At 36.6% G+C, this 21,183-nt stretch overlaps 1 long non-coding RNA gene across 1 annotated transcript; it reads right to left on the bottom strand.

The window, feature by feature from the left end:
• Positions 1-15,807, bottom strand: LOC107985136 (uncharacterized). The gene is made up of 4 exons (XR_001753490.2): positions 15,689-15,807; positions 12,197-12,292; positions 7,233-7,322; positions 1-205 (listed from the first exon to the last, which is right to left on the bottom strand). It is a non-coding gene; the product is annotated as an uncharacterized LOC107985136 (long non-coding RNA).
• Between the last annotated feature and the right edge of the window lie 5,376 nt (positions 15,808-21,183).

Raw genomic sequence — 21,183 nt, 5'->3', positions numbered from 1 at the left:
TTGTTTTCTTCTGAGGATAACCCAAAATACACTAAGGCTCACTGACAGGCTGGCTGGCTTAACGCATCACAGAAGATTCTTAGGCAACTCCCTGGGTCTGCCGTGACTCAAGGAAGAAATTTCTCACCAAGTTTTCACAAACCCCAGTGATTTGGCAGTGTCTTCCTTCTTCAATCCTCTCTCAATACCACAGCAATTCAAATAACTAAAAGACAGCCAGAAAAGTTGTCAGAGGTTATCTTGCTCATGTTTCCTAAATTTAAATATCAGTTGGAACAGATTTTTATCAGAAGCCAGGGAAATATTAGGTGTTTAACATGTAATTTAGGCAAGGAAAGGAAAATAGAATAATTGGAAAATATTTAAGAAAGTATCTGATCATTTAGGAATATTCTTCATTTATGCCATAATATATTAGATCTAAGGCACCTAATTAGGGAAAGAGCATTTTGCTTATTCCTATAGGTTCATGAAATACTTTCTTTTGTGATGGCTGAAGAATCATTATTGAAGATATGGAAAGTAGCTGTTTATTAACACGATACAATCCAAAGATATTCATTCTTTCCAGATGGCAAATCTATATAATATTACAAAAAAAATCTAACTATCATCTCTTCTTGGGATCTCGACTAAAATGATATATATTCTTGAGACTGTTTTTGACATCGCTATGTCTTCAGACAAAAATCAGCAATTTCTTATTTTGTATAATTAAATAATTGTTATGATTGCATAAATGTATTTCTAATATAATCACTGACTTACATATCCAATGCAGTATACTGGGCACCCTATTAGAATAATCACAGTGTTTTATTTGCCTTTTCACATACAATTTACCATAGTGACTTGAATACGATAAGTACTTAGCAAAATTTATAGAAAAAAATCAATGTGGTAACATTTTATAGAAAGGAGAATAAGCAATAAAAAAGAAGTATCAAATATGTCTATGAAATCCTGATAACAGCCAAAATGTTCTCAGGTTAAATATTAAACTTTAATTTATTATTTTCATGTGAAGCTGGGATTTGACAAAGTTTGAAGTATAATGTGAATAGCAGGATTTGGCTTTCTGGTATATAGTTTAATGTAAAATACATGGATTCTACTTTGACACCAGATGACTGTTATGAAGATTTTAATAAATATATCTATTTTCCTTGAGTTTTATTGATTTCATGACAAGAAATGTAAGTTTAAAAGGAGGGAGAGAAAAACAGATCTGATATATCTGTAATATTGGTAGAATCCAGGACACCTTGTCTGTTAAGGGATAAAGAAAATCAATAGAAGGAAGTTTCAGCAGTTTCTGGGAGAAACTAATGTAAAGTGTTATTAGATATCATGTTCATGACTTTGGATAGTACAACATTTAGGTCAGAGATAATGTGAACTTGAGATTCAAATCTAAGTATAAAAACACAATCATAGACATTACTAAATCCTGAGATCTAAAATATTAGCATGTAGACATGCACATTGTTCAAAAGGAACATGCCTGACGAAAAATGTGGTCATTATTGATTCCCCTGTGAAGAAAATCATCTAACTATACACACATTCACATACTTAAAAATACAGGCATGGCAGAATACACTAGAAGAAGAAGAGAGAAATGAAGAGACAGATGAGGAGTCAGAAAGAGATACAGACACAGAGAGACAGGGGGAGACAGAAAGGGGGAGTAGGAGGGAGAGAGAGACTCTAAAGCTATTCCAGTCCAGTGGAAAACAATAGATGACATGAACAGATGATGTGTCTCTGTTAACAGATTGGATGTGGCAGGCTATATTTTAAAAGATATGTTTGGATGAGTTTCTTTACCAAAGTAAGAATTATAATTATCTTCAAGTAAGTCAAGTATTTGGAGTGAATATCTGAAAAACAGATGAGTTCGTTTGCTGAGAATGATGGTTTCCAGCTTCATCCATGTCCCTGCAAAGGACATGAACTCATCCTTTTTTATGGCTGCAGAGTATTCCATGGTGTGTATGTGCCACATTTTCTTTATCCAGTCTGTCACTGAAGGGCATTTGGGTTGGTTCCAAGTCTTTGCTATTGGGGATAGTGCTGCAATACACATATGTGTGCATGTGTCTTCATGTAGAAAGATTTATAACTTTTGTGGTATTAGAGGATTAAATTGAGATAGATCAATAGAAGTATAATGGGAGGATTTTTTCCCAATTTACTACACTGTACAGTTTGAGCTGCTCAGAAACAGCCAGTAATATCGCATAAGATGGTATTTCTCTAATTCTAAAAGTTTCAGGAGAAAACTTTCTGACTCTGCTGAATGTTGAGGAAGAAATGCATACATTTGTCAGGAGGTTATTTTAGATGCCTTTAAGATGCTTTCAGACCTATACATTTATGAATAACCTTACAAGAATCAAAGAGATTTCACATAGGTTTCTCAAATCTCTTTGATGATCTTGTATCTTCATTTGTCTTATCCCTCATGTACCCTCCTGAGCAAAGGTGCTTTCTTCTCATAAGAGCTTTCTTTTCTCTCTGTAACCTCTTCATCCCCTTCATCCCCCTGCTGTTCTTCAACCGATTCCCATCAACTCCATCTAATTCACCTCAAAACGCACTAGCTTTCACTGCCTTGGAAGATATATCCTGTGATTGGTTGCCATCTTCACTAGCATGTCATGTCTCTCTCCTACTTCATCAGTGATCTTCACTTCCTCCCAAACCCACACCTCTCTCTCACTCCAGCCCTTTGCAATTTGATTTCTGACCCAGGAGTTAAATGAAATCTATTTTTCCTAAGTCATAAATGACCTATTGCTTTCAGTATTATAATCTGTTACTGACTAAGACGTGGCAGGGAAGAAGATTCAGTATAATATTGAGAAGAGATTTTTTAAAAATTGATAAATCCAGACATAGAAGTGGTTGCATCATGAAGCAGTGACTTTTTAGTCACTGGTTTTCCCGGTCATGTGCACAAGTGCTGTTGCTCAACCCGTCTGCTTCCAGGAAGGGCTCTCCCCACCGTCCGTGCTGGAGGATGCATCACATGAGGAGCGCTAAAGGCAAGCATCATGAACTCTTTCTTGGTAACTCAAGAATAATATAGTCTACTGGAAAAATCTGGGGAGCTCATGGAATGCTGGGGGTCCTGGTGTTGGTTAGAAACCGTGGTGTGCAGGGAGTATGAAGAACAGCACTGTTCTAGCACTCATAAGCTCTGCTCCTCAGAGGAAAGGTATTCACCTTTCCTTTGGTTTGAGCAACATTATTTCAAGAGTTGATGTTTTGCTAGACATTGAGATAGCTATTATGCTACAGCCTGTTTTGCCCAGTTTTAAGATTTGACCCCTTCAACATCTATGAAGGAAGAGAAGCACTTTGATTTGCATATGATAGGAGACAGTTAATTCCATCACTAAAAACTGGCTTCCTATTATAAATGGGGCACGAATGGTGATCAGGAAAAACTGAAAAATATCCACTTTGGAAACAAAAAAGGTAATTTATAATCCTTTCCCAGTTAAATTTTAAGCTGAGTAAAGGCTAAGTTTCACAAAAGTGGCTTTAAAATGACTTCTAATAGCCTTGGATCTCCTTGTAAGCCTCATTAAATAGGTTAAAGATTGAAACCCTGTTTGTCAATTGCAGCGGTTTGGGGAACCACTGTGCCATCACATCTGGTCTTTTGGAGAAAATGTACCACAAATAGTATTCATCACTGGTGTCAGGACCCCACCTCTGTGTTTCATCTGTGGCTCCCTGCATTGATACTCAGTTTATCTGATGACTGGAGAATCCGAGGTGTGGAAGTAAAGCTGTAATGAACTAGGACAGTAAGACAAGTAGTGGTAGTGGTGACGGTGAAGGGGAGTATACATACTTTCTTATTATATTTTTCATGTTCTTTCTTGAATTTTAATATTTTAAATGAATTATACACCTTTTAATTGGCACCTGGAATACTCTGTCACATAATAAGGATTCCATAAACATTTATTTAATTGAACTTTATTCAGTGACTAATGTAGAGGTACTCAACATTTAAACATTTGTATATGGATAATTCTTATAGTAGGGACATTAAATTATAGTGGAAAAAAACAGAGTGCTTTAATGTTGCTAAATATTTAAGTGTGCTCTGAAGGTTGTTTCTGAAAGCTCATTACTGCTTCCTTTAAGAGAGCAGTAAATTGTGAATGCATTTAGCCTTGTTGTTCTTCCAAAGGAAAACATGATAAAAAGGAGGAAGGCATTCCAGCGTTCGGTATTACAATGAAAATCAATATATGTCTTTTGGCCACAGTCAATATAAAAAATAAATTCTAAATGCCACCTTGATTTAAAGAAAGTTTACACAATATACTTTCTCATGCAACTCCGGCTCCATAATAAATGGAAGAGTTCTGTGAAGATAAATAATACCACTTTGGGAGGCTGAGGCAGGCAGTTTGCCTGAGCCCAGGAGTTCGAGACCAGCCTGGGTAACACAGTAAAATACCGTCTCTACTAATATACAGAAATTAGCTGGGCATGGTGGCACGCGCCTGTAATCCCAGCTACTCAGGAGGCTGAGGCAGGAGAATTGCTTGAACCCTGGAGGCAGAGGTTGCAGTGGGCCAAGATGGTGCCACTGCACTCTGGCCTGGTGACAGAGTGAGGCTCCGTCTCTAAAAAAAAAAAAAGAGAGAGAGAGAGAGAATGACTATAGGAATGAGTATGAGGGGATGGAGTGGTGGGATGATACAGTTATTGAGCTGAGGATTCAGGAAAGGTCATGAAAAAAAGATCAGATCTTTCAGCAAAATGATGAGGTAGGTGTTCACACTCGCAACAGTATTCAAATTATGTGTCCTTTTCTAATCATATTTCCAATTGTCCCTGAAGCCATCCCAAATTTATCTAAAGCTTCTCACATCAAGAATCCACCAGAGAAAATGCCCCACCTCTTCACTAGAGGCAGTGGACCAAAGCCAAGGCATTCATCATGGGAAAATATGTAGGTATAGAAAATTCCTCATAAATAGCCTTTAAATTATGGGGTTGACATATTGAATGGCAAGCATTATTTCCTAATTGTATTCATTTATGTTTACTATAAGCACATATAAAAACATTTGTTTTCAAAGAGTGGGCATATGTGTTAAAGTCCTGAGACCAAGATTCAAGGGGAAAACTGAACTAACTTTGCATTCCCCATCATCTTGAGCCTTTGAGATGTATATTACCAACCAAAGAATTTATGTTTTTAGAATAAGCTATTTTGAGTGCTTTCAAAGACTACAGGAGAAAATTAAGCTGAAGAAAATCTGGAAATATTATAAAAGAGAAGTACAGGCAAATAAAGCATAATTGTAAATTTATTATAAAAATAATTAATGGCAAGAGAGGGAAGGGTATTATAGCACCACATTACTAGATACACCTGTAGAGCTATGAAAGGTCGAAGTATTAGAAATAAGAAATGGAATCTAGGGAAGACAAGACCTGAGGCATTCTGGAGGGAGAGATGAGCTGATACAGGAGTCTTGGAATTGGAACTGAGCACAGAAACAGAGCAACCGAAGAGATACAGTCTGAAAGTGCTGCACTTGTTGCGTTTGGAAATTTATAATCATAATGCTTTTAAGTATTTTGGGTGAGATTTTATGTAATACTTGAAAATGTAAAGGTTCATTCAAGAATAATCTCTTGTAGTTGTATGAGTATAAATATATAGAAAATCTGAATTAATTTTGAAACATTATATTAGCATGTAAAAACATGCAGAATATATTTTGAATGGAACATTATTTTCCATTGTTAAAGGCGAATGGCACTCTGATTGTGTAATACAAATGTGATTATGTTAAACACGGGGTCACTTCAAGCATCCTATTATCTAACAGCCACTGCCTTTCTTTCCGATTTATTCCAATAATCTCTTAGCCCTACCAGGACCCACATTTTATATCTATCGCCCTGTCAGTGTCCCTCACCCCACCCTCCTAATCCCACTCATATTCTCATCTCCCCTTTGGACACGCACCTTCTGTCCACGTTGACCCATTCGCTACCTTTTCCTCTTCCACTTTTGCCACGGAGGTCAATCTCTACAGGGAAGTTAACCTCTACTACTCTCTAGTTTATGGTTGGGCTTAGCCAATGGTAATCCCAGCAGAACATAAGAAGAGAGGAGAGTGAAGTCAGGTATTTATCTCCCAGTTCACTTCCCGGGATGTCATGCTCAACTGTTTATACCCCTTGGGCAAAGGTCCCTGTTTCTCTCAAGGGCTCCAACTCTACTGGAACATAGATTCTGCTAATCTTTTCTTCTTCATTTTCCAGGGTGAGAAGTAGAATTATTCTACTGCCACCAGTTACAGCATACTTTGAGGTTTTTTTCTCTGTACCTACATATTTTCAAATAGCCCCTTCAATAATAAAGCTTTCCCAGAAAATGCTGAACATATCTGTTTTCTGTCAGGACTCACTCTGCTTGCCACACACCTACCCAGCAGTAATCTGAATGTAAATCATTGTATACAATCCTACCTTTGCAGGCTCTACCGCTGCAGATGAATGCAGCTTGCAAAAACACACAGTTATCTTGACTGGATGTGGCAGACTAAATAATTGGCCCTCAAAGATGTTCAATCCTAGTTGTAGGAATCTGTGAATGTGAGCCATGGCAAAGGTAATTTGTAGGTGTAATTAAAGTTAGAAACCTTGAGGTGGAGAGATTATTCTGGCTTATCTGGGTGGGCCCAATCTAGTCATGTGAATGTATAAAAGCAGAGAACCCTCCCACTCGTGGTTAGGGAGATGCAATGATGTAAATTGTACTTGACCATTTGCTTGTTTTGAAGATGGAGGAAAGAGGTACAAGCCAAATATGGTCAACTTGTAGAAACTGGGAATGGTTGTCAAATTGCAGCCAGTAAGAAAACAAGGAGCTCAGTCCTACAGCTGCAACTAACTGAATTCTGCCAACAGTTTCACTAATTAGGAAACAGATACTCCCCTAGGGCTTATAGAATGAAGCGCAGTCCTGCTGACACCTAGAATTTGATCAGACTTTAGTCTTCTGACTTACAGAATTGGAAAATAATAAATTTATGTTACATGAAATCACTACGATCGTGCTAGTTTGTTATGGCAGCAATAGGAATCTGGATTGACTGTAAATTTATAACTAATAATTGAGTTTTAAGTGCTGTCCCAGGAATCCTACTGTATTATCCTACTCAAACTACTTTAACACTCACCAGAGGCAATTTGTTGGATTCTCTCTTCTCAAAATTCCACAGATTCTCTCTCATCTTCATATTCATCCCATAAACTCATTTTCTATAACACTGTGAAAAGAGAAGCATTCAGAAGAGAACTGGCAAAAGCTCCCTCTTACAGCACTGACCTTTCTGAAATCCAGCTAATTGGCTCCACCCTCCTTCCTTTAACTGAGAAGGAGCTGTCCTTCTTCCCATCTGAGACCAAACTACTCTTTTGGGCAATAGGTCTCATTCTCTTTCACTTAGGAAAGTAATTCCTAACAATGGAACTCTCTCCTAGCATTGATACTTTTATCCCTTTATGTTACATAATTTTGATCAACACAAAAACTGACAGTAATATACTTCATCTTTCAAACACCTTTTCTTGAACTCATATCCCCCTCAAGCTGCCATTTTGTTTCTCTGCTCTTGAAACTGAGCTTCAAATTCTGCTTTTACTATCTTTCTTCACAATCTCTTCTAAGCTCATTCCTTATCACCGCTCCGCCGTTATTTATTTTAAGAAAATGCTTGTGTCAAATCACTAGCGACTCCCCTTGGCTAATTTAATGCTCAGGTCTCAACATCGCTCGGTTGATCGATCAGCAACTTTTGACCTACCCAATCCCTCCTTCCCCCAGCAGACATGCGTGTGGCTTCCATGATCCCACTTTGTCTTGCTTTTTCTCTGTCTTCATGGAAGGTTCTTTCCTAGAAATCTTGGCCAGCGTTTTCTCATAAAGGGATGATAGGGTACCATAGCTATCATAAGAGTTGATAGGGTACCATAAAGAGATTATAGGGTACTATCTACCATAGATGATAGTGTACCATGAGTTTTTTCATCAATATATAAATGTATCGGGATGACAGTAATACCCATTGTAAGACTGGTGTGTGTGTGTGTAACCAGGAACACTGGAACTGTTTGTTATTTCTAGAAATGTTTGCAGTTGTTACTATCTCCCCAACTTTTCAATGGTTGGAGACCCTAGGGCTTGGATTTCAGAACTCTTGTTTATGTAAATGCAGTTCCCTGGTTATCTAATTTTATGACATTGAGTATTTCCCAAACAACTCCAGACTGGAAATACTTCTAAACTTTACTTAAGTGTCTAATAATCATCTCAAAGCTAATCACTGAGCTCCTCATACCTGTTTTTCCCAGGTTTCTCAAAAAAATTAAATTAAATGGCAAACTCACTCTTCCCATCGTTCAGACAAAAAGAATCTGCCTCCTCTGTATCTCTTGCAATTCAAATGTAAGCCAAAATCTTATTTTGTTATATATACCCTCAATTTTTATCAAGGAAATGGTATTTTCTCACCTCCTTGATAGACAATACCCTGATCTAACTCATCATAATTTTCTGCTTGGAAATGGGCTACCATTAGTACAATCAGTGTATAGACATTTGGGGTATTTGAGTGTAAACTGTGGAATTTAAAGTGGATATGTATGCATCCTATCATCACAACTAAAAAATAAGGAAAGGTTTAAAACAAATGTATTGCCAACTAATAAGACAACTTTAAAAACCTTTTAAATATTTTAATCAACATTTAAAATGCAACGATGGAAATTTTTTAGAACTTTCATGAGATGTAATTGAGATATATTAAACAGACATACATTTTTAGTACTATTTGAGTAGGTTTGACATATGTATACCCCCAGGAAGTTATCACTGCAATGAAGAAAGCAAACATTTTGATAACTCATAAAGATTTCCATATACACCTTTGGAATCAGTTTCTCCCTTTATCCTCATCCCCAGACAATGACCAATCTACTGTCAGTCAAATAAAACTTGTACCCATGAAAAGAATGTGTATTCTGCAATTGTTAGGTATAAATCTTTTATACATTTCTATTAAGATTAAGGTACTCAATAGTTGTGGTCAGTTCTTCTTTGTCCTTTCTGATTTTCTTAATCTAATTGTTCTATCAACCATTGAGAGAAGGGCGTTAAAACTTTCTGCTATCTTCCTTTCAAAATTCTGTCGATTTTTGCTTAATCTATTCTGCAATTCTATTAGTAGGTGCACATATATTTATAAATAGTTATAATACTTCAGTAACTTGTCCATTCTATCATTATGAAATTCTTTATCTCAGGTAATATACTTTATCTTGAAGTCCATTTTATGTGATATGAATATAGCTTCTCCAACCACTCTGGCCTTCTTACACTTATGGTTTGCATAAACCACTTTTTTTCCAGATATTTGCTTTCAATCTGTCTGTCTCATTTTATTCAACTTTTTTTGTAGGCAGCATGTACCAGGCTCTTTTTATTCATCGTATTATTAACATTTCTGTAAGCACTAATATGGTTAGATTTAGTTTTACTATTTTATTAACCACTTTCTGTTTTTCAAAACTTATTCTGCCTTTCCTGCCTTCCTTTACATTATTTGAATTTTTTTTAGTGATTCATCCTAATTTATTTGTTGTTTCTTTTGTTGAGAACTCTTCATATTTTATTTGTCCAGTTGCTTTAGGGATTACAACATGCATAGTAACCTTTCACAGTTAAATTTAGAATTAATAATTTATCAGTTTATTAAAACGTAACAAATTATAACCATATAGTCTCTTATGGCCCCTCCCACTGACCTCTACATATAGCTTTTATAAATATCACATCTACACACATGGGAAGCCCCCACAGACAATGCTATCATTTTTGTTATCAAAGCTCATGTATTTTAAGGACTTACAAGAAAAAAGTAGGCTTCCTTACTTGAGCAGATAGTTATCAATGCTATTCCTTTTCCTCCATTGCTGAAGATCTCCTTAGACCTCTGGTATAGCTTCCCTTCAGTCTGAAGGTCTTTAGAATTTCTTGTGAGTGGCTCAATTGGTTTCAAATTCTTTTTGTTTACCTTCATCTAATTCCTTAATTTTGCCTTAATTCCTGAAGTATATTTTCATGAGATACAGAAATCTGGGTTAAAAGTGCTTTCCCCCCCTTCCCTTAAAGGTACTGTCTCCTGGCCTCCGTGCTTCTTATGAAAAATTTGTGATCATTCTTACTGCAGTCACTCAGTTTAGAAAGTGCCATTTTTTCTGTGGCTGCTTTCAATATTTTTTCCCTTTATTTTTAGTTTTGGGAAATGTGATTATAACATATGCAGGATTTTTAAACTTTTGTTTTTTGAGATTCACTGAGCTACTTGGATCAGTAAATGTATATGTTTCACTACATTTGTTAAACTTTGGTTATTATTTCTTTAAATTAGATTTTTGCCCCAATTTCTTTCTATTTTGCTTCTTTGTTAATGATGACACATTTACTCGATATTGTCCAACAGTTCCCTGAGTCTCTTCATTTTCTGTGTTATGCAGTTTGCATAATTTCTACTGTACTATCTTCAAGTTCATTGATTTTTTCTCTGCTAGTTCTGTTGCACTACTGAGATCTACTAGAGACTTAAAAATATTTAGATATTGTATTTTTTAGTTTTTAAATTATTTTGTTTATTGTAGTTTCAATGTTTCTGCTGAAAAGTCTTATTTTATTTTTAATTTTAAATGTGACAGTTTTGGGGGGGTCTCACTCTGTCACCCAGGCTGCAGTTCAGTGGTGCAATCACAGCTCACTGAAACCTCCACTGCCTAGGCTCAAGAAATCTTCCTGCCTCAGCCTCCCAAGTAACTGGGACTACAGGCACATGCCACCATGCTTGGCTTTTTTTTTTTTTTTTCTTTTTTTTTTTTGTAGACACAGAGTTTTGCCATGTTGCCCAGGCTGGTCTTGAACTTCTGGGCTCACACGATTTGCCCACCTAAGCCTCCCAACGTGCTGGGATTACAGGGTTGAGCCACCATGCCCAGCCAAATGTGGCATAGTTTGATAAGCTCTTTAATCTTGCTGTTACAATTTCAACATCTTTATTATTCATATTTGAAATCTGTTGATTGTCTTTTCCCTTGGGATTTGGTCGTGTTTTTCTGGTTTTTGGTACGTTCTGTAATTTTGGGTTGTATCCTACACATTTGAATATTATGTTAAGATGATGCATCCTGTTAGAATCCTCCGGAAATGTTGATATTTCAGTTTTAGCCAGAAACCAATCTGGTCAGATTTAGACCATAATTTCTGTCTTGCATTTTGTGGGTGGTAGTTCAAATCTCTGGTCAGTTCTCAAAATGTTTGCTGTTTAGTACATTCAAAAAAAAATGTGAGACCTTATGAGTGGTTTAAATCTCACTTCTACTAACTTTTGCTATTTTGGCTTGTGCTGTTCTACACATGCATAATTCATGTGTTAATTTAACTAACTTGCCCTGAGGTTCAAGTAATCATCACCTCTCAAAGCCTTCGTTGTGTTGATTTGTGTCTGTCTTATATATGTGTAGCTTAAGGGTGAGACTGAGACTGGAGCATGTTCATATTCAAAATTCGAGTTGCCCTTCTTTGTTTCTCAGTGCTCTGGATTCTCCTGTACTCTCTGGAATGCAAGGTCTTTCTTTGCTGGTTTCTCTGACCAGACATGAGACTTCTCCTGAAGTTCTAGACATCACTACCAGCCTGCCACTATGTTAATGGGACCCACCTCTGGAGAAAACTGTTGGGTAAACACAAGAACAAAACCAAAAAAAATCTAACAAGAAATTTAACATTCATGCAATCGGTTCTCCAAATTCTGACTCCTCATCACAATCTGTTTTTGCTCACTTTTCACAGTCTATAGGTAGTTGGAATTTTTCATATTTTGTTCATCATATTTAGTTCTCATCAGTAGGAAGCATGAACTCTAAGAGTTTTACACCAGCGTGTCAGAACTGAACATGGCCTTGGTTACATGATGATGGAATAGGAACAAGCACACATCTTTTTAGAAAAAGGAAGAATGAGAAAGAGTGCACAATCAATGGCAGTTAGCGATCACTGCCTCCTTCTTGGATTTCCCCTAGCTTCCTCTTTTTTTGCTGTGTATGAATAACTCACTTGTCTGTTGTCTTCCTTAGACTCTGAGAGCCTCTTCCTTATCCATGATCCTCAGTGCTCTAATCTGAAGTTCATGACAGAGATGCTGCATGGGTGCTGATACAGAAATAGGGCAGAGGGTAATGTTAATAATTGAACAATCAATATTTATAAAATTTGTAATTTTGTGGCAATAAAATTTTAAGTTTTTGCAGGCTAACATCTATTTTATTTTAGCAAACTCTACATCAAGTTAATCATATATGTAGTTCTTAAACCTGATGAATCCTGTCTCTTATTTACTGGGTTTTGTGTTTGCCCATCCTCTTCCTCTCGATTTAATGGTATGCATCTTGAGGTCATATGAAATAAGAGGCTAGGGCAAGAAGGAGACACTCTTAATTAGATTGGTACAATTGGGACGGCTTTTAGAATCATATCTCCTGTTCCTTGGGTTAAACATACAGTTGGTTTTTCCAATTTTGTGAGCTGCAAATTACTGGCTTCTCAGTCACTTTAAACGGCTCCTTAGAAAAGAGAGAGCCTTTTTTAGCAAAAGTATTTCCTTTCATCTTTCTCGGTAACTGGCCAAGTCTCTCCTCAGCTTATCTCATGGTGTCTCGTTAAAAGCATCAGGAAGCAGCCAACAGACATGAATATTCTAACTTTTCCGACATTTTAGCAATAGACTTATTAGGCAAAGTATTTACTCCCCAGTTCTCTATTTTAATTTTAACTATATCAAAAATTCATTGGAACTCTTCCGTTGTCCTCATATTCAATCATATATATGTCCAACATATTTTAATTTCTATTTACTTCTCAAAGGCAATAATAATTTCCTATCTTCTTATAACCATTTGGACAAGCTGTTTAGAAGAATGCTGACTGGAGGCAAAAGTCATTTAGAAAATAAATTATTTTTTGATAGACAAACTATATTCAAATAATAACAAGGGAATGACTATATACCATAAACATGTTGCCAGCTTAAAATAGATCTGCATTAGCCATTTTCCAAGGCTGATATATTAGCTTATGAGATAGAAGAATGATGCATTCATTTGCCTAAAATATATTTCTACATCGATGGATTCTGTAATTTCTTTCATTTAGATCTGAAAAGTGTCCACCAATGTCTTTCTCTAAGAGCTATGGAAATGAAACAAATAGGATTTTCTGTTTAATCTCTTAGATACCAATATTGATTTATTAATTTAAGAAATGCTTAGCTGTGTGTATTGTGCATCCTGCACTCACACTGGGCTCTATCCTGTGTATACACTGGGAACAGACAGCCTTGGAGGTTGGGTCTGACAGGAGGATGGACCCAGAAATGGCTCAAAGGAAAACAGAGGAAAATATAAAGACAAAGGAAAATCAGAGAAGTGCCATGATGTAAAATAAAAGCAGGATGCTTGACATGAGACCATAACACAGAGAAAGATTTATTTTGGACTGAGTTATCATGAGCAGATTCCTCCAAGAAAGCCCTGGTAAATGCATTTCATTTTGTTTGTTTAGTGTAACTTAACATTTTATGTTTTATAGATATTTATTTTGTAATCCATTTATTAAAAACAAACATATGGTATATTATGCAGGTTAAATCAGCAGTTTTGGTGTAACTACTTTAAATAAAAATGTCAGAGGACTCGTAATATTATGAACTCGTTTCAAAATATTTTCATGATCCAGATGACTGACAAAACTTATATTATCCTGCTGCTACCTTTGCCTTCCCAAAACCATCCCCTACAATTTACGTCAGAGTGCTTTTGTAATATTTTTAAAATTATCTCACTCCTCGGTTTAAAATCTTTCAATGCTTTTATATTGAACTTATAATCCACCTGAATTCCTCTTGTGGGCCTACAAAGTCTCTTACATGATTTGGGTTTATCTCCCTCTAATTATAACACCCCCTCCCCCCACCTTCCTCTGATACCCTGCCAAAAGAAATGAGATAAACTCTAACACTTGAAGAGAACAATCTGGCTGCAAGTGACAAAACTGAAAATACGCAGTCACTTTGACCCATTATTTTATGTATGAAAATGAAGATATAACAGAACTGATAATAAAGGCTATGCGCAAAGATGTTTACTGCTAAAGTTCTTTGTTGTAGTGAAAATAAATTAATAAAACAGAAGACATCCTGAAAACAATAAAATATTCATTAGTTTGTGGAAGATGGTAGAGAATTGTTCCAAGAAGACCATTATTGCCAGCTATTACAACATATTGGATATTGATTTCAGAATGCATTTGTATAGGTATCTGGGAATGTACCTGTCCAGTCAAAGGTCTAATGCTGAGCAGCATCCTGGGACTGTCACACTGGAGATGAGAGAATGTCTTTCCAGCTGATCTGCATCAACTAGTAACATGGTTTTCTCCCAATTTCCTATGGGCTTTCCTGCTAGCCAGCCTGAGTTTGAGCAAGTTGAGACAGTAGTATTCATACTACTCTGCTGAAATGTCGGTGGACATACTCTAGATCCGTTATGGATAAAGCAATGCTAACTGCTACTGAGGTCCAAGACCAGAAGGGAAAAGGAAGCAAAGAAGAAGAAAAGACGTGGAGAGGAAGAAGGGTAAAAGAAGAGAGAAATCATAAGAAAAAACTTGAGTCAGAAAAACTATGTCCATTGAGTAAAAAAGACATGCTTATGAGGCACAAAGTAGTTTTAAAATATACTGCTTATTAAGAAGCTCAAAAAGAGAAGAAAATAAGGTATGGTTTACAATTCTTTATGTGGTAATTCATGTATAACCAAATGAAGCAGGATTACAGTTCAGAGCAACCTTGGCTAACTTGTGGCCCATGGGCCACGTGCGGCCCGGGATGGTTTTGAGTACAGCTCAACACAAATTCATAAACTTTCTTAAAACATTATGAGACTTTTTGCCATTTTTCTTTAGTTCATCAGCTATCATTAGAGGTAGTGAATTTTATGTGTGGCCCAAGATAATTCTTCTTCCAATATGGCCCAAGGAAGCCAAAAGACTGGGTACCCCTGGTTTGGAGGAAGTGTGGATGGGAGTAGATTGTGTACAGGTCTGTAGTTAGCCCAGATATTAACTATGTTACCAGTAGACTTGCTCATTTCTTCAAAAATTTGAATATATGTTACAAACTTTCATTTTGGGCATCCAGCTAGTGATTCTGACTGAAGGATTTACAGCTTCAAATTTGATAATGTATATAATGACAGTCTATGTACTAGGATTAAAATTAGAGTTTGAAAGATTGCCATAGCAACTCTGAAGAAAAATAAAGGGCGGGGAGGGGGCGTGTGATAGAGCCTTATTTTTTGTGGGTTCAATATAGGAAGGCAGATCAGAATTGTGACTCAGATACGGACTTCTGTGAGAGAATTCTCCATCGACTTGCTGTGGAGGCTACAGGAAGCCTCTGGCAATATTTGTTATGGCAATTTTCTAAGGCTGCAGCTGGTTTTTAAGCTGAAAAGTTCAACTCTCTCTAGACTTTTGAAACGTCATCCTCACCTCTGCTTACAGTTCTACCTCTATATTCCATAAGTGGGTTCGATGCAATTGTAAAGAAATAGCCATCTGTCCAGGGCTGTTTTCCAGGACTTCAAGATGAGGGATCACAAGTTTCTTTTTAATAAAAAATATAGCATACACTAGTAAGTTTTAAACAAGGAATTCTAGGCACATAATAAAATAACCCAAACATAATTTTTGTCCCCATTTTTTTATGGCAAGCACTAACTTCCATTCTGAAATGAGCTTTTTTTCACTCAATACTTTGATTTAGGACTTATGCTTCTTAAAGTGGAAATACTTGGAAGACAATTGCATTGATAGAGTGAAAACAAAGCAATAATAAATATAATACATTTTAGAGAATTCCAGCCAGTTGAGACTTCCTTCCACTAAATAGGAACAGCAAAGTGTGTCTGGGGGCATCATTGATATAAAAGTATATTCACTCCAGGCTGTTACGCCATTTCATAGCCGCTGAGTGATTTGGGAGGTACATAGCTGCCTGTGGACTTTGCCTCTGGCTTTGTCTGTGTCTGTCTCCAAGGCTAGTTAATGATGGGACTGCATTTTTCTTTTTCAATCCAAGCTAATCTTCAATCTTTTAGTTTTGGACTGGTTTTCACTCTTTCAATATAAATTATAAAATGAGAGTACATTGTTTTACAAATTGCTATGTGATAGAAGCAATACATAGAGGAAAATAGATTGCATTAATTGCAAACTTTTAGAAAACATAATAAAATACCAATGAGAATTTAGCTCAATAAGTTTGAAATCAAATAACAAAATAAATACCTGAAGAAGTCAAATGGGGAAATTAATAGAGACAATCACAGATATCAATTTTTAAAAAGTAAAATGAACAACAGAAAAACAAAATTGATAGACCAAAGGCAAATTCTTGTAAAGTTCCTCCCCACAAGAAATGTCAAGCCTCTGAAAGTCTAAGTATAGTAGAATGTAGATAATTGTCTAAGAAACTACTAATTTGCTCCAAGAAAAGACAGAATCTTTTTCTGTTATTTTGTCTCTTAGCAGCATTACTGAGGTATAATTGACATACCAAAAAAAAGTGCACACGTTTAATGTATATAATTTGATGAGTTTGGACATGCACATGTACCCATAAAATCCAACCACAATCTACTTAATAAACATATCCGTTACCTCCAAGAGTTTCTTTGTGTCCCTCTGTGTGTGTGTTTGTGTGTATGGTGAGAACACTTAACGTGAGATCTGCCCTCTTAACAACATTTTCAGTGCACCATCTCTTATTGTTAACTATATGCCGTATGTTTTATAGCAGATCTTTCGAACTCATTCATTTTGCATAACTGAAACTTTATACCTACTGAGCAACTCACCATTTCCTTTTGCCCCATCCCTTGGCAACAATGATGCTGTTCTCTGCTTCCATGAGTGTGGCTATTTTAGATACTTCACATAAGTGGAATCATGCAGTATTTGTTCTTCTGTGACTGACTTATTTCATTCAGTGTAGCATCTTCCAGGTCACCCAAATTGTCACAAATGGTAGGATTTCCCTCTTGTATAAGGCTAAAAAGACAAAATTTCAAAGAGGCCAGATCTGTTAATGGAATTAAAAGGTAATCAAAGATAGACCTGAAAGCTACAGCAAACCAAAGCATTTTAACCTTGACTTTATCGTTTCAAGAAGCGGTAGTTTGTATCTAATGCTGCAGAACATAGAAACAAACAAAAGAAACAGTTTGATTTTATAGAGTCCTTATTATGTGTCTGGAACTTGTCTAAATATATCTACTGTAACTTTTAATCCATTTGCTCCTCACATCTGAGGTGGAGTCAGACGGAGAGCAGGCTTCCGGGAGCAGGAGCTTCTCCCTAGACACAAAGGGCTTCTCTCTGCCCTCTTACTCACCTGATCATTAACAGAGAGGAGAGAACTTAATGCGGATTTTGGGCTGCAGCCTCCTTCTCCTCCACCAGGAGCTGCTTGCTGTGCTCCCGAGAAGCCTGCAAGTGAGATGCCATGCAACCTGATTTGTACTCTCAGACAACCTTCCTTGACTTAGTGTCTTTTAGGAAAAAAATGAGATATTTTCTTTTATATTTATGTCATTTTTAAGTTTGTTCAGGATAGTGATAAAGAAGAAGGGTGTTCTTTTGGAGGAGCATTTTGGAGACTCCCAGCATTACTCACATTGGCTAGAATATTGAAAAATTCTAAACATCTAGAGGGCCATGGTAGTCATGTGGGTGGCTTTGGGTATGGCCAGGAGTTGAGCTCTGAGGTTGCAATCTTGAATTTCAGAGTAAGGCAGGGTATTTTGACCCAAATAATCTGTAGAGTATTAGGTCAAGTGAGTATTTGGCATTGAGAAGTGGTCTTTCAACTGCTGTGTCCTAGATGAAATGGTTTGAATCAGCCATTTGCTTGTTGACCTGGACCTGTGACTGCAGTTTACCATGTTGTTTTGCTTTGTTTTGTTTTCCTTGGGGTGAGGGGTGGCCTCCTTTTCAGGACAACACACTGTGTCCGCCTAAAGGGGACAGGCCACCAGAGAGGTGCTAGGGTTGGGCTTCCCAGCAGTCTTGTCAGTACCTATGAGAAGCTTGGTGTCTGCTGACCCAACAAGCAAACATTGTCCACATGTCAGAATATTATTAGCAAAGCAATGACCCCAGGGCAGAGCCCATTACATCCTGTTTTGATCTATGCTTAGTCTTATTTATGTGGTAACCGCCCCTGCACAACACAGACACACACAGGCAAACATACCACAGTGAAGTGTCTGGGGATTTGTTAATTATAGCAGTTCCAATTCCTCAGGTTTTCAAGATTTCAACTATGATCACTGATACAAAGATAATAGATTTTATTAATACATAAATAGAAAGGAATAAGGGCCCTTGCAATATTTCATTTTGGTATTAGAGAAACAATCTGCAAAAATTATGCAAATTGTGGGTACAAGTAGTTTGAGAAATATGCTTACTATCAGAATAAGTGGAGGGACATAATGTGAGCAATAGAAACAATGGAAAATATATTTAAGAGAGAGAAATTCCAGTGCAAATAGGTAGATATCCTAAAATAAAGACAACAGATTTGAAGAGAAAAATCTGATGTGATATTGAAGGCCAGAGGAGATGACATAAATATGGGGGAAAAGCCCCCATAACCAATTGCTCTTTTAGAGAAATTTAGTAAAATATGTGTTGTATTTATTAGAAGACAAAAACTTCACCTATGACCCACATAAACCTAAGGCTTATTTGTCCTCAAAGAAGACACGTGGGAGTGGCTCTTTGCCAAATCATTCAGGACATCATTGAAAAGGGGCTTTACAACAGGGATTCCATAAGAAAACCAAATGAGGAACCGCCCCTCAAAGATTGTGACAGCTTTACCAAGTGATGGCCAAAAATTATCTGTGCAGGTATGAGGGAGAAGTCCAGAAATATCAGTGAAAAAGAGTCAAAATCTTCTTAGGTAATTTCAAGAGTATAGCCACTGAAGGTAGGCATATAGTTTTGCCCTCAGCAAGTTGCCTAATATGCTTATGGAACTAATACTCTAAAGTACCTACAAGGTGAAAAGGGGAGAAGGCAGGCAATGGCAAATTGTGTTCCGACTTGGATAGATGATGGCATGAGGGCATTACATAGCCCAGAGAAATGATGAAAACAAGATTGGTTTGAACAAAGGTTCGCCACCCAGAAGCATTAGACAGATCTGGAACCCTTTTACTATCTGGACAAAATATGAAAGAATATTTTAAGAAAACAAACTTATGGGGCACAAAACACACAAAAGGTTAAAGGAAAGAAAGTCTCCATTCTGGAAAAACAAATTATCCCACAATGTATCAATAAATAACATTGTATCCCACAAACATATACAATTAAAATTTAAACAATCTGCATGTATTAGAGAGGGAAGGTTACTCAGTTAGAAATGTTTGTATTCACGGGAATCCAGCTGAACCCTCCTGAAAAGAATAAGGAAATGGCAGAGAAATTAAACATGAGAAGCACATTTCAGGACTGTAGAGGAAAAAGAGTAGCAATGTAAAATAATGTGCCTTAAGTCTTGGAATATTGAAAAAGTGGATGAGAAGGGCCATGACTTAAAGGAAACAAGCAGGGGTATCAGTTCCTGTTAGGTTCCTTTTGGCACAGGTTTCAAAAGCATCAAATAGCAGCTCCAGATCAGAAGTCTGAAGGAGATTTTCCAACTGAAACAAGTAAAGGGATGAAAGAGAGCCAATTACTAACAGGCAGGTTTCACAGGCTTTAATTTATCCCATAATAAGAGGCAGTAGAATGAGCCACCGTAGTGCAGGAATGAAAAAGCCTGCTCAGGAAAATAGTGGATGCTGTCTCAGATAGATGATAACCTTGGTATAACATTTGGGCAGAAATAGGGGAGTTGGGATAAATAGCAATTACCACTTTTGATTATAAAAGAAAAAGCACCACAAATATTACCTGTTGACTGATGCCTGTTTCTTTGGAAATTTCTTGACTTCCAAGAAACTAGAAGCATTTCAATGCCAGTGTATAAGACAGTGTATAGATGCGTAAAATGAACCTTCTTTCAGATTTAATGATTGTATAGTGTGAAAAATACTGCTTTGCAGGGTTATTGCTTCCAAACAAATGCAAATTTATAGGGCATGGATTCTGAGTAACAGGAATGAACTGATCGTCATTTTGGCCAGGATAACTCCATGAAGATTATCTCTGCAGACTCCCCTTTCCTTCAGTTTCTGCTATGGACTTTGGCAAAACTAAATATTAGGTTATGGGAATGTAAATATACCTAGGAATATTGTTATCAAAGCTAATGATATGTTTTTTAAAAATGTATAGTAATGGATATGGTAAATTAATAATTTTATGTGCTTTGTGGATGCTTTTTAAGTCAATGAAAGTGAAACTTGGCCAGGCATAGTGGTTCACACCTATAATGCCAGCACTTTGGGAGGCTGAGTTGGGAGGAATGCTTGAGGCCAGGAGTTCAAGACCAGCTTAGGCAATATAGTAAGACCCCATCTCTACAAAAATCAATCAATCAATCAATAAAGTAAAAAACAAAACAAGAAAAATTTAAACTCTTGAGAGGTTTATTGTATCTCTAATCTCTCAGGCCTTGAAGGACACATACCCATTAGCATGAGAGATGCGAAAGCTGTCTCTAGCTGCTGCAAGGAACACACTTTTAGGCAGTCATCAAGAATGCCTGTTAGTGAGATGAAATTGAGTAAGAAATTTGGGAGGATAATATTTTGACTTAATTATAACATAAGAATTTTAAATTTTAGATTTTAAACTTCTAAAAACAAGATAACTGATTTTAATTGCTTCAAACTTTCTATCTTTAGATTTTAACTTGAAAAATGTTTAAATATTTAACCTTTAATTTCTTCCAGGAAATTTGAAAATTGCCTGGGATTAAAACTGGGGAAATATCTCAGCTGACATTATTAATTAGAATTTATGTATTG

The sequence above is a fragment of the Homo sapiens genome, chromosome 18 (genome assembly GCF_000001405.40).
Source record: "Homo sapiens chromosome 18, GRCh38.p14 Primary Assembly".
Classification (NCBI taxonomy): Eukaryota; Metazoa; Chordata; class Mammalia; order Primates; family Hominidae; genus Homo; species Homo sapiens.
This window is presented reverse-complemented; position numbering and strand designations above follow the sequence as displayed.